The 22,832-nt window shown below is 42.3% G+C and overlaps 1 protein-coding gene across 2 annotated transcripts in view, besides 1 other annotated feature; it reads left to right on the top strand.

Moving 5' to 3' along the window:
* TMIGD3 (transmembrane and immunoglobulin domain containing 3) overlaps positions 1 to 22,832 on the top strand; it is an 80,615-nt gene that overhangs the window by 32,159 nt on the left and 25,624 nt on the right. The window lies entirely within an intron of this gene.
* Positions 16,081 to 16,190: an enhancer, noted in NCBI's record as "active region_1500". NCBI's record gives its function as "activates an Ori minimal core promoter by ATAC-STARR-seq in GM12878 lymphoblastoid cells {active_cell/tissue: GM12878}" and the evidence as "EXISTENCE:reporter gene assay evidence [ECO:0000049][PMID:35858748]".

Below are 22,832 nucleotides of genomic sequence, written 5' to 3'. Positions count from 1 at the left end.
GAAGCAGTAGGATCGCTTAAGCTCAGGAGTTTGAGTACAGCCTGGGCAACATAGAATCTGTCTCTTAAAAAATAAATAAATAAATAATTTTAAAAATAAATTTACAGGGATACAAAAATATCTAGCACTAACAAGGTAAAATTCACAAGGCCTGCCATCCAATCAGAAAATCATCTGGCATGTAAAGGAACAGAAATCTGATTCACAGTGAGGAGCAAAATAAAAAGAAGCAGACCCAGAAATGACACACTTGATAGAATTAGTAGACAACGTTTAGTAGTAGTTATGTATTTTATGTGTTCAAGAAGGCAAAGATAGAGCATGTTAGATAGAGACATGGAAGACATAAAAATAGACCTGAATGAAGTTCTGGAGATGAAAATGACAATATCTGAGATTTAACATCCAGCAGATTAAATACTGTGAAGAAAAGATCAGTAAACGTGAAGACATAGCAATACAAATGATACCAAATGAAACATAAAGAGGAAAAATAATGTTTTGGGTTTTTTTTTTTTTCTTTTCTGGAGACAGGTGTTGCTCTGTCACCCAGGCTGGAATTCAGTGGCATGACCTTGGCTTACTGCAACCTCTGCCTCCCAGGCTCAAGCGATCCTCCCACCTCAGCCTCCAGAGTAGCTGGGACAACAGGTGCATGCCACCACACCTAGCTAATTTTTGCATTTTTTGTAGAGACGAAGTTTTGCCATGTTGCCTAGGCTGGTCTCGAGCTCCTGAGCTCAAGCAACCTATCTGCCTTCACTGTGCCTGGCCTAAAAGAATGTTTAAAAGTGAAAAAGCATGAGTAAGCTATGACAAAACTTCATACAGCCAAATATACTTGTAAATAGAGTTCTCTAAAGGAGAGGAGAAATAGGGATGGACAGCAAAAATGTTTGAAGAAGTAATGGTTGAGGAATTTCCAACTTTGATTAATGCTGTAAAGTCAAATATCCAAGAAACTTAATGAACCCCAGGCAAAATAAACAAAAAGCCTCATGAATAATTACATCAAGAAACATCATTATCAAATTGCTCAAAAGCAGAGATAAAGATAAAATCTTAAAAACATTCAGAAAAAAAACCCCTACATTACATATAGAGGAACAATGATAACAATGGCAGAAGACATCATGTCAGAAACAATGTAAACCAGAAGACTGTGGAACAACATCTTTAAGGTACTGAAAGAAAAAAATTTGTCAAAACCCATCAAAAATGTCTTTCAACAATGACAATTTCAGGCATTTCAAATGGCTCTTCCAGACTTATAAAAAGTAAGGGAATTTGTAACCAGCAGAGCTGCGCAACAATAAATGTTAAAGGAAGTTCTATTGGCAGAAGGAAAACAATATCAGAAGGAAATCTGGATCTATACAAAGGAATAAAGAGCAATGGAAATGGTAAATATATAGGTAAATATAAAAGATCTTTTATTATTTAAAAAAATCTCTTTAAAAATAATTGTGCAAAACAAAAACAATAACATTATATTGGAAGGTTTATAACATAAAGAAGTAAAATGTATAACATTAACACAAGGAAGGGAAAATGGATATATTGTTTTAACATACTTTGTGTGAAATGGTATAATATTATTTGAGGGTAGTCTGTATACTATAAACCTTTTGTTACAAAAATAATAAAAAAGAGTTATAGCTAATGAGCCGACACAAAAGATAAAACAGAATCATTTAAAATACTCAATTACAGAGGGGCGCCTCTGCCCGGCCGCCCCTACTGGGAAGTGAGGAGCCCCTCTGCCCGGCCAGCCGCCCCGTCCGGGAGGGAGGTGGGGGGGTCAGCGCCCCGCCCGGCCAGCCGCCCCATCCGGGAGGTGAGGGGCGCCTCTGCCCGGCCGCCCCTACTGGGAAGTGAGGAGCCCCTCTGCCCGGCCAGCCGCCCCGTCTGGGAGGTGTACCCAACAGCTCATTGAGAACGGGCCATGATGACAATGGCGGTTTTGTGGAATAGAAAGGGGGGAAAGGTGGGGAAAAGATTGAGAAATCAGATGGTTGCCGTGTCTGTGTAGAAAGAGGTAGACATGGGAGACTTTTCATTTTGTTCTGTACTAAGAAAAATTCTTCTGCCTTGGGATCCTGTAGATCTGTGACCTTACCCCCAACCCTGTGCTCTCTGAAACATGTGCTGTATCCACTCAGGGTTGAATGGATTAAGGGCGGTGCAAGATGTGCTTTGTTAAACAGATGCTTGAAGGCAGCATGCTCCTTAAGAGTCATCACCACTCCCTAATCTCAAGTACCCAGGGACACAAACACTGCGGAAGGCCGCAGGGTCCTCTGCCTAGGAAAACCAGAGACCTTTGTTCACTTGTTTATCTGCTGACCTTCCCTCCACTATTGTCCTGTGACCCTGCCAAATCCCCCTCTGCGAGAAACACCCAAGAATGATCAATTAAAAAAAAAAGAAAGAAAGAAAGAAAGAAATTGTATCCATGGGGTTGACAATGGTTCTTGAGGTAAGGAAGTTCCAAAGGATAGGATAACCTTGGAAGAGTGTAGGGGTTGCTTGGGCAAGCTTCCCCTTCCTGCTTGGAAAGTCTTCTTCCAGAGTTAAATCTTGAAATTTTTGAGTTTTGTTCTATGATAGAGACAATATGGTAGTATACCCATGATCTCATAAGAATTATATAATAATAAAAACTTTATGGTTTTTCAAATTACAAAAAATAAAAAAAATAAAAAATAAATAAAATAATTACAAAGACAAGGCAAGAATGTCTCCTATCACCACTGTTTTTCATTATTGTACTGGAAGTTCTAGCTAATGCAATAAGACAAGAAAAAAAGGTACACAGATGGGAAGAAAGAAACGAAACTGTCTGTTTTTGCAAATGACATGATTATAGAAAATTCCAAAGAATAAACAGGAAAAAACCTCCTAGAATTAATAACCAATTATGAAGAAGTTTCAGGATGCAAGGTGAATATTACAAAAGTCAATTGCTTCTCTATACAAGGAATAAACAACTGAATTTTGTAATTAAAAACACAATACTATTTATATTATCATCCCCAAAATAAAATACTTAGGCATAAATCTAACAATATAAGTACAATATCTATATGAGAAAAACTATAAAACTCAGATCAAAAATAAAAAAGAACCAAATAAATAAAGAGATATTCCATTATCATGGATAGTAAGACTCAATATTATCAAGATGTCAGTTCTTCCCAACTATATCTATAGTTCTGAAACTATATCTATAGTTCTGAAAATTCCACCAAGTTATTTTGTGGATATTAACAAACTGATTCCAAAATTTATACGGAGAGACAAAAAACCCAGAATAGCCAACACGATATTAAAGGAGAACAAAGTCAGAGGACTGATACTACCTGACTTCAAGACTCACTATAAAGCTATAATAATCAAGACAGTGTAGTATTGGCAAATGAACAGACAAGTAGATCAGTGGAACAGAATAGAAAGGCCAGAAGTAGACACATATAAATATGGTCAATTGATTTTTGACAAGTGAGCAAAGGCAATACAATGTCTCCATTGTAAGAAAGATAGTATTTTCAACCAGTGATGATGAGCAAATGACATCCACATGCAATAAAATAAAATAAAATCTGGACACAGACCTTACATCTCTCACAAAAATTAACTCAAAACGGATTATAAACTTAAACATAAAATGCAAAACTATAAGACTCCTAGAAGGTAATGCAGGAGAAAATCTAGATGACTTTTGGATATGATGATGCGTTTTTATATACAACTCCAAAAGCGTGATCCATGAAAAAAAAAATTGACAAGCTAGACTTCATTACAAAAAAACTACTTTTCAAAAAAACAATGTTAAGAGAGAATGAGGTGATAAGCCACAGACTGAAAGATAATTTTTGCAAAAGACATATCTGATACAGGAGACTGTTATCCAAAATATACAAAGAACCCTTAAACCTCAACAATAAAAAAATTAACAACCCAATTAAAAGATGGGCAAAAGACCTGAACAGACAGCTCACCAAAGATGATATAAGGATGGCAAATAAGCATATGAAAAGATGATCCATCTCATATGTCACTAGAAATTGCAAATTAAAACAACAATAACACTACACAACTATTAGAATGGCCAAAATTCAAAACATTAATAGCACTAAATGCTGGTAAGGATATAGAACAGGATGCATTCATTGCTGGGGGAAATGCAAAATGGTGAAGACACTTTGGAAGACAGTTTGGCAGTTTCTGACAAAACTAAATATATTGTTATCATACAATCAAGCAATCATGTTCCTAGGGGTATTTATCCAAATGAGATGAAAATTTACGTCCACAGAAAAACCTACACATGAGTGTTTGTAACAGATTTATTTATAATTGCCAAAACTTGGAAGTAAACAAGATGTTTTACAGTAGGTGAATAGATAAATAAACTGTGGTACATGCAGACAGTAGAATTTTATTCAGTGCTAAAAAGAAACAAGCTATCAAACTATGGAAAGACATGGAGGGTCAGGCGCGGTGGCTCACGCCTGTAATCTCAGCACTTTGGGAGGCCAAGGCAGGCAGATCACTTGAGGTCAGGAGTTCGAGACCAGCCTGGCCAACATGGTGAAACCCTGTCTCTACTAAAAATACAAAAAATTATCTGGGTGTGGTGGCATGCACCTGTAGTCCCAGCTACTTGGAAGACTGAGGCAAGAGAATCACTTAAACCCAGGAGGCAGAGGTTGCAATAAGCCGAGATCACACCACTGCACTCTAGCCTGGGCAACAGAGCAAGACTCAGTCTCAAAAAAAAAAAAAAAAAAAAAAGACATTGAGGAAACTTAAATGTATATTACAAACTGAAAAAAGCCTATCTAAAAAAGCTACATACTGTATGATTCCAAATATATGACATTCTGAAAAAGGCAAAGCTATGGGCAAAGAGCAGTAAAACTAAGTAAAAACATCAGTGGCTTCCAGAGGTTGGTGGGCAGGGAGGGATGAAAAGATGGAGCACAGATGATTTTTAGGGCAGTGAAACTATTCAGTATGATTCTATAACGGTAGTTACATGTACTACGCATTTGTCAAAACCCAATGAATGAACAACATCAACAGTGAACCCTAATATAAAGTGTGAACTTTGGGTGATAATGATGTGTTAATGCAGGTTCTTTCATTATAATAAATGTACCACTGTGGTGGGGGATGTTCTTTCATTGTAATAAATGTGCCACTCTCATGGGAGAGTGTTTTAGTCCATTTTCATGCTGCTAATAAAGACATACCCAAGACTGGGTAATTTATAAAGGAAAGAGGTTTAATTGACTCACAGTTCTGCAGGGCTGGGGAGGCCTCAGGAAACTTACAATCATGGCAGAAGGGGAAGCAAACAAGTCCTTCTTCACATGGCAGCAGGAGAGAGAAGAATGAGAGCCAACTGAAGGAGGAAGCCCCTTACAAAACCATTAGCTCTCATGAGAACTTACTCATTATCACAAGAATAGCATGGGGAAACCGCCCCCATGATTCAATTACCTCCCACTAGGTCCCTCCCACCACACATGGAGATTATGGGAACTACAATTCAAGATGAGATTTGGGTGAGGACATAGTAAAACCATATCAGAGAGATTGTGTGTGTGGTGGGGAGGTAGAGGGACATACAGGTACTCTGTACTTACCACTCAATTTTGCTGTCAACCTAAGACTCCTCTAAAAAATAAAGTATATTTTTAAAAAGTATTCAAAATGCTTAATTCAAAAGAATGCATAAAAAGAGGAAAAAGAACCCAAGAACAGATGGAATAGAAAAAAAATGGCCAGATGATAGATTTAAATCCAATGATATCAATAATCACATTAAATCTAATTAAAAGGCAGAGATTATCAGATTAGATAAAAAAATTAAAAATCAATTCTATACTTCCTCCAAAGAGATTAGTTTTTGTTTGTTTGTTTATTTGTTTTGAGACAGAGTCTCGCTCTGTCTCTCAGGCTGGAGTGCAGTGGTGCAGTCTTGGCTCACTGAAACCTCTGCCTCCTAGGTTCAAGTGATTCTCCTGACTCTGCCTCCTGGGTAGCTGGGACTACAGGCATGCACCACCATGCCCAGCTAATTTTTTGTATTTTTAGTAGAGACAGGGTTTCACTATGTTGGCCAGGCTGGTCTCAAACTCCTGACCTCAAATGATCCATCTGCCTCGGCCTCCCAAATGCTGAGATTACAGGCGTGAGCCACTGTGCCTAGCCAAAGAAATTAGTTTTAAATATAAAGACACAAATGGGATAAAAGTAACAAGATTAAAAATCATACACCATGGTAACACTCATCAACAGAAAGTTGCAGAGGTTCTATTAATATCAAACAAAGTAGATTTCAGAGCAAAGAATATTACTAGGGATAAGGAGAGTAATTTCATAGCAATAAAAAGGACAATTCATCAATAGGACCTAGTAATTCTAAACTTTTATGTACTTAATAACAGAGCTTCAAAATACATGAAACGAAAACTGTTAGAAATGCAAGAAGAAACAGACAAATTCACAATTATAGTCAAAATTTTAAATCCTCTCCCTCAGTAATTTTAGAACAAGTAGACAGGAAGTCAGCAAGCATATAGAAAGACTGAATAACACCATCAATAAACTAGGCCAAACTGGCAGTTATAGACCTATCCACACAACAACAGTAGAATACATATCTTTTTCAAGTGCACATAGAACATTTACCAATTAAACATAAGTTTCAATACATTTAAAAGGATTTAGATCATACAAACTGTTCTCTCAACACATGGAATTAAATTAGAAGTCAATAATAACAAGATAACAGGAAAATCCTAAAATATTTAGAAATTAACACATTTTTAAATAATCTACAAGTCAAAGAAAAAATCAAAAGGTAAATTAGAGGCCAAGAGGGGTGGCTCATGCCTGTAATCCCAGCACTTTGGGAGGCCGAGTCAGGCAGATGGCTTGAAGTCAGGAATTTGAGACTAGCCTGGCCAACATGGTGAAAACCTGTCTCTACTAAAAATACAAAAGGTAGTAGAGTATGGTGGCATGCACCTGTAATCCCAGCTACTCGAGAGGCTGAGGCAGGAGAATCACTTAAACCCGGGAGGCGGAGGTTGCAGCAAGCCGAGATCATGCCACCGCACTCCAGCCTGGGCGACAGAGTGAAATTGTGTCTCCAGAAAAAAATGGGGGTAGGGGGCATAAATTAGGAAGTACTTTGAAATAAATAAGAGTAAAGTAAAAATATAACATCAAAATTTGTAGAACACAGCTAAAGCAGTGCTTAGAGGGAAATTGATAGCACTAATTATCTATGTTACCAAGTGTTCCAGAAAGTGACAAAACCATACTACTGACAAGTTTATTTCACCCAGTGTGGTAGAAAAGGCACAACTCCAGTAAATATGTCATTTAAAATTTTTTTTAAAGAATAAGAAAGGTCTCAAATAGATTTCCTCAATTTTCACCATAAGAAAGAAAAAGAAGGCCGGGCGCGATGGCTCACGCCTGTAATCCCAGCACCTTAGGAGGCTAAGGCAGGCAGATCACAAGGTCAGGAGATCAAGACCATCCTGGCTAACATGGTGAAACCCCATCTCTACTAAAAATACAAAAAATTAGCCAGGCATAGTGGCGGGCGCCTGTAGTCCCAGCTACTTGGGAGGCTGAGGCAGGAGAATGGCGTGAACCTGGGAGGCGGAGCTTGCAGTGAGCCGAGATCGCGCCACTGCACTCTAGCCTGGGCGACAGAGCAAGATTCCATCCCAAAAAAAAAAAAAAAAAAAGAAAAGAAAGAAAGAAAGAAACAAGAAGAGTAAACTAAACTCAGTGCAAGCAGAAGAGAAAAAATAAAGATAACAGCATAAATCAGTGAAATAGAAAACAAAAAAAATAGAGAAAATCGTTGAAACAAAAGCAGATTCTTTGAAAATATTAATAAAATTGATAAACCTTAGTCTGATTGATCAAGAAAAAGACTAAATTAATAATATCAAGAATTAAAAAGGGCACATAACTACGGCTCCCACACACACTGAAAGGATAATCAGTAAATATTATTTACAATTTTATGCCAAGAAATTCAACAATTTAGATAACATGGAACAAAAATTTTAAAGACAAACTGTCAAAGCTAAATAAATTAAATTTATATTACAAATTTTCACATAAAGAAAACTCGAAGCCCATATAGTTTTACTGGTAAATTTTATCAAACATTTAAGAATGAAAGATTACCATTTCCACATAAACTCTTCCAGAAATTGAAGAAAATACTTCCCAGCTCGTTCTATGAAATCCACTCTTTGTGACAACCTATTCAGTTTCCAGCATTGCTTTGTTATTGAAATCAGACGACATTACAGGAAAAAAAAATCATAGACCAATAGCTGTCATTAGATAAATGGGGAAAAGAACCATAAAATCTTTAGCAACGTTGAGTCTAACAATATATAAAAAGAATAATACGGTACATAGTGTCCAAGTGGGCTTTATCCCAGAAATGAGAGGTCTATTCACTATGCAAAATCCAATTTATAATCCATATATTAACATCTAAAATAATAAAAACCATATCATTGTGTCAATAGATGCAGAAAACAGTTTTTGACAAAATCCAGTATCACCGATATAAACTCTTAGTAAAGTAGGAATAGAAAAAAACATTCTCAATGGGATATAAGGCATCTGTGAAAAAACTACAACAAACATCATAGTTAATGATAAAAGACTGAATGCTTTCCCCCTAAGATCAGGAAGAAGTAAGCATGGCCACTCTCTCCATTTCTATTTAACATTGTGCTAAAGTTAGCCAGTGGAATAAGGCAAGAAAAAGAAGTAATAGACATTCTGATTGAAAAGGGATGAGTATGACTTCTTTTTTTGCAGGTGAAATGATTGCCTGTGTAGAAAATCCTACATAAGTTCAATACACAAAAAGTAATTGTATTTCTCTATTCTAGTAATGAACATGAGACACTGAAATTTAAGATCAATACCAGCCAGGCGTGGTGGCTCACGCCTGTAATCCCAGCACTTTGAGAGGCCGAGGCGGGCAGATCACGAGGTCAGGAGTTCGAGACCAGCCTGACCAACACAGTGAAACCCCATCTCTACTAAAAGTACAAAAAAATAGCTGGGCATGGTGGCACGCGCCTGTAATCCCAGCTACTCAGGAGGCTGAGGGAGGAGAACTGCTTGAACCCAGGAGGTGGAGGTTGCAGTGAGCTGAGATCACGCCACTGCACTTCAGCCTGGGTGACAGAGCGAGACTCTGTCTCAAAAAAAAAAAAAAAAGCAACAAACAATACTTAAGAGTACATTTAATAAAAGGTTTGTAAAATCTGAACACTGAAAACTACAGAGAATTGCTGAGAGAAATTAAAGAACGACAAATAAAGTGGAGAGATATGATGTGTGTGTTCGTAGATTGTAAGATTATGTGTTGTTGAATTGGCAATTCTCTCCTAAACTGATTTGTCAATTTAACACAATCCAATCAAATTCCTAGAAGACTTTTTTGAAGAAATTGAAAAGCTGATTTTAAAATGTATGTATGTGAACATTCAAAAGACCTAGAATAGCCAAAACAACTTTGAAAAAGAACCAAGTTGGAGTACCAATAATACCTGATTTCAAGACTTTCTGTAAAATGACAACAATCAAGATGATGTGGTATTGGTATAAAGATAGACAAATAGATTGATGTAACACAATACAGAGCAAAAATGGAAATAAACCCATACGTATATGGTCAATTGATTTTCAAGAAAGGTGCCAAAACAACTGAATGGGTAAAGGACAATCTTTTCAACAAATGGTGCTGAAGCAATTAAATAGCCATATGCAATAAAATGAACCTCAACCCTTACCTCATACCATATACAAAAATTAACTTGAAATGTAATATTGACTTGAATATAAGACTAAAACTATAAAATTTCTAGGAGAAAACACAGGAGAAGGTCCTAGTGGCCTTGGGTTTGGCAAAGATTTCTTAAATATAACACAAAAGCACAAAATATACGAGCAAAAATTAACAGTAAAGATGAAATCTTTTGTCCTTCATAAGGCACTCTTAAGAATGTAAAAAGTTGGCCACAAACCAGGAGAAAAGATTTGCAAATCTTATATCTGACGAAAGACTTATAACTAAAATATACAAAGAATTCTAACAACTTCATTAAGAATATGAATAACCCAATAGAAAAATGGGCACAAAATTTAATAGTTACTTCACCAAGGATGATATACAAATGTCAAAAAAGCACATAAGAAGATGCTCAGTCTCAATGGTTAGTAGGCATATGCAAATTAAAATGAGATACCATTATGTAACCACTACAATGGCTAAAACGAAAGCAACTGACCATTCCAAGCACAGGTGAGGATGTATGTGGAGAAACTGGAACTCTCATTCATTACTGGTGGGAATGTAAAATGATATAATCATTTTACAAGAAAATTTGGCAATTTCTTTAGTGAAATGCATCCACTGTATGATCCAGTCATCCCATAACGAGGTATTTACCCCAAAAACATGTCCTCACAAGACTTCTTCACAAATATTTATGACAACTTTATTTGTAATAGTCCCAAACTGGAAACAATCCAGATGTCCATCAATAGGTGAATGCACAAGCAAATTACGATAGATCCACACAATGGAATCCTACTCAACATTAACAATGAATGAACCACTGATGCACACAACAAATGGATGAATGCCAAAGTTATACAGAAAATACAAACTAATCTGTAATAACAGAGAGCAGATCAATAGTTAGGGGATAGGGTGGGAAGGGGTGGGAGGGAGGGATTACAAAGAGGCATGAGGAGACTTGGGAGCGACGGCCATATTTATTATCTTGACTGTGGTGATGGTTTCACAGGTGTATACATATGCCAAAACTTGTATAAGTCAAAGCGTGCACTTTAAATATATGCAATTTATTGCATGCTAATTAGACTTCAATAAAGGTATAAAATAAGGAGAATTCATTTCAGATTACTACCTACCAGCACACAAACATATAACTGAAACAAAAATACCATTGCTATGTACAATGTAGTCTGACATATCCATTCCACTCCATTTAACTGAAAATGCAATGTGGTCATGATCCACTAAGTTGATTTCAGGATTCCTGAATGAATTGATACCTGTAGTTTGAAAAACACTGTTTTCAGATATATTTGAAAAATGAATGGCTTCCATCCAAAACAGTCTCTTAGTTACATTGACAAGCACCTCTGAGACAGTTTCTGCCTTTACTACTAAATTTCATCTCCCCTTCTATTCACCTGGTTAAGAAATTACACAGCCTTAAAGTAAAAGTCCTAATCTTCCAGTTTCCTGCATGGGAGACTGAGATTTACTCTCACCCTTTTGCCATCATCATCTTATTATCTTGTTGGCGAGATTGTTGATTTTATGATCTTGTAATAAAAACTTTTCTGTGATGACTCTAGTCAGGAGGAACACATGGGGAGATTTTGGGGAACACTGAGATGGCAGCTACCTGACTGCACATGTACTAAGGTTGTCAAGGCCTTTGGACTTCACTAACATGGGTAGCAGCTGCTATTAACTATCGTTTCCTCCATAAAAGAAAGCAAGCTGGCTCTGGCAGTGAACCCACTCTTTATGACAACCTATTTAGTTTCCTGCAGAATTTACTATTAGTTGTTGTTGTTTTTGACTGTGCATTGAAGACCATATGGAAAGAGGTTCCTGTTCGTCCTGTTTGCTAATGTACAGTATATTAACAGTGGTTAACCGGGTCTGTGTACAACAGGGCCCAGCAAAGAAGAGAAAAAGGCAGCCAGGTACGGTGGCTCACGCCTGTAATCCCAGCATTTTGGGAGGCCGAGGCAGGTGGATCACCTGAGGTCAGGAGTTCGAGACCAGCCTGGACGATATGGTGAAACCCCATCTCTATTAAAAATACAAAAATTAGCTGGGTGTGGTGGCAGGTGCCTGTAATCCCAGCTACTCAGGAAGCTGAGGGAGGACAATCACTTCAACCTGGGAGGTGGAGGTTGCAGTGAGCCGAGATCATGCCACTGCACTCCAACCTGGGTGACAGTGAGACTCCATCTCAAAAAAAAAAAAAAGAAGAGAAAAGGCACTAAGCTCGGGGAGGGAAAGGGAGAACAAAAAAAATGATAAAGAAACCTGGGCTTGGGTTAGTTTCAACTCTGCTGTGAATGAGTCTTCCTGTATGCAACTTGATAATTATGTGCCTGGTGGTCTCTCTTTGATTACACATCTCTCCGTGTCACAGGCTGTGGAGTCATTTGCAAATTCAGTCCATTTTGTGTTCATAAAGATTTTAATAAATTAATCTGGAACCAAAAGGAAATGAAACTCAGGCAGAAGTTTGAGTTGTGATTCTGCCCTCAGCTCTTTTAAACAATGGCTGAAGATAAGAAACACAAAGTGCTGCCATTATTTCCCAAGACCATGATCTTCTCAGTGGTTCCAGAAGAACTAGTGGAGTAGGTGCTCAAACCAAGCCTCATAGCACACTCAGGGGACACAGGACTGTAAATAAGAGCTTAAATTCCTAGTTGGGGCTGGTTGCGGTGGCTCACGCCTGTAATCCCAGCACTTTGGGAGGCCGAGGTGGATGGATCACCTGAGGTCGGGAGTTTGAGACCAGCCTGGCCAACATGGTGAAACCTCGTCTCTACTAAAAATACAAAAATTAGCCAGGCGTGGTGGCAGGCACCTGTAATCCAAGCTACTTGGGAGGATGAGGCAGGAGAATCGCTTGAACCCGGGAGGCAGAGGTTGCGGTGAGTCAAGATCACGGCACTGCACTCCAGCCTGGGCAACAGAGTGAGATTCCGTCTCACAAAACAAAAAACAAACAAACAAACAAACAAACAAAAAATGAAAATATTCCTAGTTGGGGAAGGATGGCCTAGGTCACAGTTGATTTGGCTCCAAAAATCTTACATCTAGATTGTGCTCTGTTAAGTAGCCAGAGGTTGTAAGTTCAGAATTTGAACCATATTGGCATAGGAGAATCAGAATGCATTAATGGTATTGCTTCTGGGCAAGTAGATTTCAGTATCTAGTTCACACCTTCCTTATTTAGGAACTAGGAGAGAGCATGATGTAATGATCCTACTTGGACCTTGGTGTTAGGCAAAGCTTGGTTCAGATTCTATCTCTGCTGCCTGCCAGGCTTGTGACCTTGGGAAAATCGCTTAGCCTCTCTGAACTTTAGGCTTCTCGTTTAGATCACTGTTTCTCAACTGGGAGTGATTCTCATCCTCCAAATTCTCCCAGGGACCATTTAGTAATGTCTGGAGACGCTTTTGATTGTCATGACTTGGATGTGGGGATGCTACTGGCATTTAGTGGGCAGAAGCCATGGTTACTGCTAAACATCCTACAGTGCACATTCAGCTCCTCACAACAAAGAGTTATCCAGTCCACAATGTCAATAGGGTTGAGGTTGAGAAACCCTGGTTTAGAGATAATGTATGCAAAGTGTCTGGCTTAAAATAAGTAGATGCTGAATGAATGGTAACTACCATTGTCAAATGATCAATTCAGTGTGGCTGATTAAAACCCAGATTCTGGAGAAATCAAGACCATCCATGTCTGTCTTATATTCAGAAAAAGTCCCTAACAGTGGGAGCCACAATCTGTCAAACAGTTAGCACAGGTATAGCAAAAAGGTTAAAAGTGGTTCCTCTGGAGCCAGCCTGCTTGGGTCCAGATCCTGGCTCTACCATGAACTGCATATGTGTTCTTGAGTAAGTCACTGAACCTCAGCCTACTTATCTATAAAATGGGTACAAAATGATATCCGCCTCACAGGGATGTGTTAAGATACAAAAGAACCCAGTCTGCATAGAAACTACTCAACTAATATTTGCTGTTATTACTGGGGAGTCATTATGAGGCTAATGCTGAGAGGGGCACTGGTTTTAATATGAAGCTCTGAAGTTTTTGATGTGGAGTATGAAGGGGAACACACCAAACAGAAATAGATAATCCATGCAGCAGTAGAAAAGTGCATCAACCCACTGAGGACCCACTTTTTGTTGTTGGGCAAGGTGCCAGGTATCTATAACTAACATCTCATTGAATCCACTTCACAGCTCTTTGAAGTGGCTTTTATTAACCTCTTTCAGTCTCACTTTACAGATGTGAAAATAAGCTCAGAACAATTAAAGCAATTTGCCAAAACTCACACAGCCACTAAGTGGCAGGGCTGGGGTTTTGAATCCTAGTATGATTCTGGCATGTGTTTTTTGTGGACTGAAATTCAGAAATGCTCTACTCAGGGCAAATTCTCAGAATAGGACACATTTAACCAGTTTTCTATATGTAAGGAAAGGAAGAGAAATCTAGTAGCTTGGCTGCAACAAATGGCCTGGGGTATGTAGAGAAGAGAGTGACAGGCAATCTAGACAGCAGGATGCAATTAACAGGAGCAGTCCTCGCTTTTTTTTTTTTTCCATTGACTACTGCTAAATCCAAGGAAGTCACCCTGTATTGCCATAGCAGCATAAAGCTACTTAGGAAGAACATTTCTTGGAAATGTCTGAGGCCTGATAGCCTAAGAGAAAGGATATGGACTCAGTCTCTCCAGGAGAGACTTTATCGAGGGTTCCTCAGACATCCCTCTTTGCCCTAAATGTTTCCATGAGGCTAGTGTGTGCATGTGTGTGTGTGTACACATGCGCAAGCATGAGCTTGCACTCCTGCACTTGGGACAGAGGGAGGAAGGGAGAGTGAGAGTGAGAGAGTGTGGGATGGGGCCATAATAGTCTGGGACTGAGAAGCCAGCAGAACCAGGGAAAGGTTCTAGGTAGTTGCTGTCACCTTCCCCTAAGCAAACAGCTCTATTTAGATAAGAGTGAGAATGGTGCCTAGAAAAAGCCAGAAGGTCTGATTTATCCCAATACTAGCTGTGTTAAGAGGTTTACCCATCAACACTCAGGGCTGGGGCCGTGGAACAAGTGTTGTTTTGTGGATTTCTGGCTTTCCTGAGGGCCCCCTTCACCTTATCCCGTGTTGGAAGGCATCACACACTGCTCAACCTGGGACAACCCAGCCATCTGGCCTGCCTACTCTCTTTCAAGCTGAGGTCTTCTTCAGACTTCAGCTTTGTGGCTTTCTGCCTGGAATAATGGGAGCTGAGGCCTTCTCAGAAACCCTGGGCCCCACTCACCCAGCAGAAGCTGAGGAGGAGTTGGTGTCATTGTGTGTCCTGTGTGTTCTGTTGAGGGCGTAGGAGGGTCTGCTGTTCTCTGGGCAGAAATGCTCTCTCAAGTTCACTAACCTGGTTGTTTAAATTTAGGAGAGGAAACAGATGCTGGCTGGGGCGGAAGTCTAAGGAGAAGAAGGGGTCTTGGCAGTGGTTTGCTGAGGCTGATAAGAGCATGAGATGTGCTCCAAGCCCGGCCTCTGCTGATTTGCTTTTGGGCTTTTCTGACGTCGCCCTGAGCCATCACCATCAGAACTTGGCTTTTCTACAAGTTCCTCCTCCTGACTGACCTGGAGGGGGTGCTATTTTTAAGTTGATCTTCGTGACTTCCTTTTGGCTCGCATTCCCACTCCCCTCTCTCAAATGCCCTGAGAGCAGCTTCCTGCTTAGGCCAACTTTAGCACAAGGTGCTGCCTGCAAGGCCCTGGGAGGTGAGGGCCGTCTGCCCTGGACCGCGGCCCTGCCAACAGGGGTGCTGAGGGCGCTGTCCTGGCAGGCAGGGGGCAAACCCAATTGCTCTCATGACGGGGTTGTGCAGAGGACGCCCAGCCTCCTAGAGACTCGCCTCAGATGAGTCCTTCAGCAGGAATCATGCGGTCCCACCTGCAGGTTCCCGCCGCTCCCTGACATATAAATGGTAGGAACGCCGCGGTCAGTTCCTCCAGTCTGGGCTGGGGCTGTGCTGACCTCTGCGAGCTGCGGGGAACACCCCTCCCTCCGGCCTCCCCGGCTCCCGGAGTTCCGGAGGAGTGCGTCCGGCCGGCGCAGCACCAGCATCCTCAAATTGTGTCTTGGATGAATCAGGTCGACAGTCCCGCCCCCTCCACCAGCCGCAGTAGAGCAAGGGAGAAGAGCCGACGCCACTGCGACTTCTGGGGGGTTGTCGGGGCCACAGTCCCCGGCGCCAGGGCCCCCTCAGCGCTGCTCCTGGGCAGTCTCTGTGTCCTCCTTCCCAGGCTCAGGGGAGCGGCCCGTGCTGCCGCGGAACCCAGCCGCTGCCAGGAGGCCCGGTGCTCATCGCCTCTGGCACAAGGGGCAGCTGGCTGCTGCAGAGACCTCCTTCCTTGTCATCTGCTGAAAGGGGACTGGCAGCGTCCCCAACTCCCATCGGGGAACACCAATCTCTACAACCAGGGCATGAACAGCCTCTCAGCGGCGACTCCTTCCTCACACAAGCAGGGCTGAGGACCGCAGGCCACAGGGTAGGGAACTGGCACTTCCCCAAGGCGCAAGAGAAGCCAGGCTCAGTTTTTAGTAGGTGGGAGTTCTGGTTCAGCGACCCCAGTGAAATCAGGAAGGAAGAGCTAGTGGATCTTCCCCCTTGCGCCCGCCACTGTGATGCTCAGAAAATCATTTCCAGGTTAGTCTGGGTCAAGAAACTAGGTCTCACTCTAGAGATTCCCTCCGCAGTGGAAGAGCTGACCAAGGGCTGTCTTTCTGTTGAATTCAGGATTCTAAACTCTCAGCCTCTGTTTCCCATCTGCAGAAATGAGCAAATCCCACTTCTCAAGGTTGCAGTTGGATTCAATGTGGGGTTCCAGGCAGTGTAACACAGGCGGCTGGGCATGGGACTGCCTGAGGTCAAGACGGGCTCTGCCCTTTGCTAGCAGTGCAAACTTGGGCAAGTTGCTTGACCTTGCTCAATGTCAATATTCTTATCTGTGAAAAGAAGAGGTGATGAAAATGACAGGCTCTATTATAGGGCTATGTCAAGGATCCAGGGAGAGCCTCTGACAAGAGTATTCCAAGGTTAATGAAAGATTAGAGGATGTGCTAGTGTGGTCCAGGCCCGGAGAGAGCCCTGGAGTGTTACCATTATTGTGTTACTGCATGGGGAAGTCTGAACATGGCTCCTGGCTTTAAGGGAGGCATGACTCTTTTTACCATGACTTTAAGGGAGGCAGCATGGTATGATGTGTGTGTGTGTGTGTGTGTGTGTTCCCATACTGTATGCACACTCATATACTAGCAGTAAGGTAATGGCGGTTCTGGGTATGGTTCAGACTTTGCTGCTGCTTTTTTTTTTAAGTCAAGGTCTCATCCTGTCATCCAGGGTGGAGTGCGGTGATGGTGTGATCCTTGCTTACTGCAGCCTCAACCTCCCAGGCTTGACCTCCCTGACTTCCCAAGTAGCTGGGACTGCAGGTGCAGGTCTATAATTTTTTACACCACGCCCAACTAATTTTTTCTGAATTTTTTTTGTAGAGACAGGGTCTTGCTATGTTGCTTATGCTGGTCTTGAACTCCTGGGCTCAAGCAATCCACCTGTCTCGGCCTTCCAAAGCACTGGGATCACAGGTGTGAGCTGCCGCACATCCCAGACTTTACTTGTAGCTACTACATCTACTCCCTCTTTGGGCCTTTGTCATCATCTCTGAAATGGCGAGTTGCACCTATTGCTTTCTACGAGCCATTTTGGCTTTACCACACAAGAGTTTAACATCTTAAATGATATTTATAAAAGGGTATGTGCATCCTCCCTTCATTTGGTCAAGACACTGCAAAGAGTGAATGTTTGGAAAGTAAAAGAAGGGACGGGGTTGTGAGGCCCATGTGCCTATGTGCAGTTTTCTGTTGAGGCTTCACCCTTTGCCCTCCTCCCTGAGATTCTTGGACCTTCTTCCCACAGCCCCTCCCACCAGCTCCCATGCAACCGCACCCCAACTAGGGGATGCCCTGCCTCCCTGCAGATGTTTCCAGTTTGCAGACAGCATAGAGTTCACGTTGGTCATTTGTTCCATTTGCTCAGAAACAACAGCTAGCATTATTGGCAGGAAATGGAGAGGGCGCCAACTCCGAGATAACACAAAAAGCCCTAGTCATGGGCACTAGGCGTGGGTGGGGTAGAGGGAGGGAGGGGGCATAGGATGGACCATCTGCAGTGACCTAGAGTTCTGTTGGCCCTGCTGAAGTCACGGTCACTGAAACCGTGTCGAACTTTCCTCTGGGACTGAGCAGGCCAGTTGACTTATCTTAGAGGGACAAGGACAGAATGAGATTTTATCTTGGAGGCCTGGGAGAGAATGGAGAGCCTGGCTCCCCAGCCCAGCCCTGAGGCTAAACTCCCAACCTAGAATAAATTTTATTTATTTACTTCTTTGAAAGCAGAAATGTTTCCAGGGTTAATGAAAGATTAGAGGATGTTTTGTATTTCAGGTCAAGAGAAAATACAAATAAATGTAATGCAAATTAAATTACTGGCCTCATGTGCCTCCGTGTTTGCCGATGTGCAGTTGTTTTGGCTGGGGTTGGCTGTAATATCCCCACTTGTTGCTGTTTATTCAGCAACCCTCACACCCTGTGCAGGAGGTGGCCCCTTTATAGCAGTGAGTAGTGCTGAGTGATCCGCCAGGCCTTCTAAAATGAATGACACTCAAGAAACAGAAACTGTGATTATTGCTCTGAATACTCTAGTTCTTGATATCTGGCCCTTAGAGGGCTTCACCTGCAGCAACTGAGGTGGCCTGGGTGGCTCTTGGGGGCTGGTGACCTGGAAGACTAAATGTCTGGAAGCTGTGAACTGTCAGACCTGGGGCAGCCTTTCCCCGGGGTTCGCAAAGTCCACCCAGCAGGCCTGCTTATGCTGACAAACCACTGCTTCTTGGCAAGGGTGGAGAAAAGAGAGGAAAATGGTACTGCCTCCCACAGTCTCTTTTGGATACTTCCTATTTCTAAAGCTGGAGGTACCACTGGGGCAGTTGGAACAGGGATAGAGCACCTCCAGAGAAAGACTGAGACAATCAGCCCTTCAGAAACACAGGGTCTATGGAACACACCCCTGTGGCTTCCCAACAAGTCTGTATCTCACAGTTCAGTAGCCCACAGGGTGGTGGGTGTGGAATGACTTTCCTTTAATTCAACCTCTACCAAGCACCTTGTAAGTGGAAGTGGAGCACTGGTTGGGCACTGGAGTGGCTCTGATAGTGAAACATCAACCCCCAACCCCACCCAGCTGCAGCACTCACATTCCTGGTAGCTGCCCAAGGTGGTGGTGCAGGGGACCAAGTGCTGTGCTAACTGCTGTGCCTGGGTTACTTCATCCAGTCCGCAGAGGGGTATCTTATTTATCAAAGGGGGAAATGAAGGCACAGAGATTAAGCAGTTTGGCTAAGGTCATCCATTTAGACACAGAGTTCAAAATAAGAAAGACACAGCATATTCAGAAACACATGGCTGGAGCCTGACAGTGATTTCTCCTCTGGAGCACGTTGGGGTGAGTGGAGTGGGGCGGGCCTGATGCCCAGTGAGGAGGCACTAGAGTGCGTGCCATGCTGGACGCACAGGTGGCTGTGTCTCACTGCAGCTGAACATCAATTAGGCACAGCTTGAGAGGGCCTGAAGGGCACTGCTGATGTGGGTAATGTAACTGATTAGCACCCACTATTCTACCCACTAGCATGGGTTGACTGGCCAACTGGCAAAGGGCAAGTGCAGTGATGAAGAAGGAAGGGTCAGCTGTGTGCTTGATTGGAGGGCCCTAAGCTCTTTGGCCCAGGTTTCAGAAAACGGGGACAGAGTGACAAACGAGCCAGTGAAGGGGGCTTGCTAGCAAAGAAACCTGGCTGCTTTTCTAGTTTTGACCCTGAACTGGCTACTCTGGGCCTCCGTTCCCTCTGGTGTTACATCTTACTCCAAATGTGTTGTGTCCTAAAAACCCCATCATGAACACTGTGATTTGGGGCAAGATCAGTGGTCAGTGATCAGGAGTAATGTGTCAGACTAAGCTGGTAACTAGGGCCAGAGGTGGTTCCAGGTCTGGCAGATAGAATTGTGAACAAGACAAGCAAGGGGACAGACCAAAGACAAGTAAATGAACAAATGAGCTCTGACTGCGAAAGTTGTGGCATAGGAAATAAACAGAGAGGATGGAAAGAGCATGTGGACGTGTGTGTGTGTGTGTGTGTGTGTAAAGGGCACCATTTGAGATAGATCACAGAGATGAGGGAATGAAATGGTTGTTATAGGTAAAAATGCTGAAATAGCAACTGTAATGTAAATATTAGACATTCTGTCTGAGGTTTCCTTTAACTAGACCCAAATAGGTCACGTGGTGTTTTCTATCTGTAGTGGTTTGTGATTGAAGTTAGAAGATGCAAAAACCTACTTTTTGTTGAGGAAGAGGTCTTCCAAATATCCCTTCTGATTCCTCACTGGACATAGAGTGGTATAGCCAGCATTCTTACAGGGAAGGAGAAGACAGACCTGAGAGTACTACATAATACATTCAACTGGAATTTATTGCAGGTTTCTTCTGTGGCAGGTATATTTTAGGATCTTCATGCTTTGGGGAGAAGGGAAGTGGGAGGAAGACATAAAAATGAATAAGACATAATTTCTACATTTAAGGAGTTTACCAGCTAGCGGGAGAAGCAGTCATGTAAATAAATAACTACAGAATAGTGTAGTAAGTGCTCCAAGAGAGGAATGTGTAAAGCGATGTGGGCGTGTAGAGGAAGAAGCCATCAACTCAGCCTGACAGTAACTTCAGTACTTTGTGGAAATAGGTGGGGTGCACATCAATAAAAATACATTCTTCCTGGGGGAATGATAGCATTATGGTTTACCCAGTGCGATTCCTAAGGAAGCATTTCCTAAATATTGCTGGATGTGGGTGCCCGTGAGTGCTGTATTAAAAGACTCACTTCAAATGAGGGGACATTTTCAGTCTCATCAGTTTTTTCTCTTTTGCCAAAATTGATCATCGAAAATGTCATTTTGGACCACTTGTGGGAGAAAAAAATCCTCACCCCCAAATCATGGGGGTAGTGACAGGTATCCCTGCATGACAGACTGGACCAATCAACCTGCAATATGCCTGAAAATAAACGCGTACTCCTTCTAATGTGAGTTCTATGGAGTCATTTCTTATACCTTGCACACTGCCAAAAATGATGTGCAGCTCCTCATGAAAAACAGGGCCTGACAGAATTATTAAAACACCGGTAGCCAAGGAATGATATGGGGCACAAAGGCATCCTAGAAAACCTAAGCCAAGTGTGATTACCGAGACCGAACATCGGCTCTGACACTCCTGGCTGCTCACACACAAATGAATGGGACAAAGCTCTGCCACTAACCAGATGAACAAGGCAGTCTAGTTTATTAAGAAAAACGACCTCTTTTCTAGCACTAAAACTCCTCAGAGAAATTTATCCTATGAAACTTTATGTAAGAGACATAGCAACAGATAGTATTTTCGATCATGATGAAACACCGAGACATACTTCATAGTACAGTTTTTTTATATTAACCTTTCATACAAAGCAGAGGGACTAAGGTCATCTGGGAAGACATTTCAGCAGGGAACTAAAGTAAAACGGTTTTGCAGTGCTGTTGTCTGATCAGGGAGTAGATGCAGGAGTTGCGGGTAGGGAGTGTAGAGGAAGGGCCTGTTGGCTGCTCTCCATGGGCCTGGAATAAAACTCTTGGCTGAGCTTTGACAGGAGCTGGAGAGTAGACAATTGACACAGAATGCACAGCCTTCAATATCTGGCCCAGCCTAGGAAGCAAGTCTACCCATTAGGATACTGAAGAATGTCTGCCCAAAATGGCAATTTGGGTTTTGGCATAATTGATATTGGACTGTTTTTGTGTGGCTCATTGAAAGAGCCAGGGCTTTGCAGCCAAGATAGACTTGGGTTCAGGCCCTAGCTCTGCCATTTGCTGCTGTGCTGCCCAGAGTGAGTCAATTCTCTCCTAGCCTTAGTTTTCTATCTGTGAAATGGATCTAATAATACTTCCCAGCAGGACTGATATAGAATTGTGAGTGATGTATGCAAAACACCTGGCATAGTGCCTGGCACATGTGAATTGGCATTTTATCAATGGCAGCTCTTACAGTAATAATTACGAAATGACCTTGTGCAGTAGGAGGGGAAGACACATGCCATCAAAATCAGAAGGTTGCTTATCTCCCACTGTGGCGGTAAGGTTTGCATGCAATTCCGTAAGAAGTTTTGTCCCATTTGGTAGGTAGCAGGTTAAAAGAAGGAGACCAGGACATTGCCCTACTGTAAACATTTGGGATCAGTAGTTGGTATATCCAGAACTCATTCCTACGCCTCCCGGTGTTTAGATAAAGGGCATGAGAATCAACACCGGGATCCAAAGTCTTCCTGGGTGAAATCAAGGGATGAGGCCCTACCACTGTGATAGGGGTGGGGACACCCGGCCTGAGCACCCAGAAGCCTAGGACTGTGATAAAGAGGAGGCTGGGTGGCCAAGAGACATGAGGGCATTTGGAGAAATCTTGGAAGCTCTCCAGCAAAGGCTGGGAAAATTGACCAGTGGGACCTGAGCTCACAAGAGGGGAAGGATAGGTCAGAGGTTGACAGGTGCCAAGGGAAGGATCAATGACGTAGGTGGCTAAAAATTCCACTGCAACCCCCTACTGGCAAATCCCTCCTGGTCTTCCCCATTCTCATCTTAAGCGAGGAGACCAGGAGCTGGGCTCCCATCCTGGTGCTGCTTTTGTTTGTTTGTTTGTTTGAGACGGAGTCTCGCTCTGTCGCCCAGGCTGGAGTGCAGTGGTGCGATCTCACCTCACTGCAACCTCCGCCTCCCGGGTTCAAGCAATTCTCCTGCCTCAGCCTCCTGCGTAGCTGGGATTAC

Source organism: Homo sapiens, chromosome 1 (genome assembly GCF_000001405.40).
Source record: "Homo sapiens chromosome 1, GRCh38.p14 Primary Assembly".
NCBI lineage: Eukaryota > Metazoa > Chordata > Mammalia > Primates > Hominidae > Homo > Homo sapiens.
Note: the sequence above shows the minus strand (reverse complement) of the source record. Positions and strands in the feature narration are given on the sequence as shown.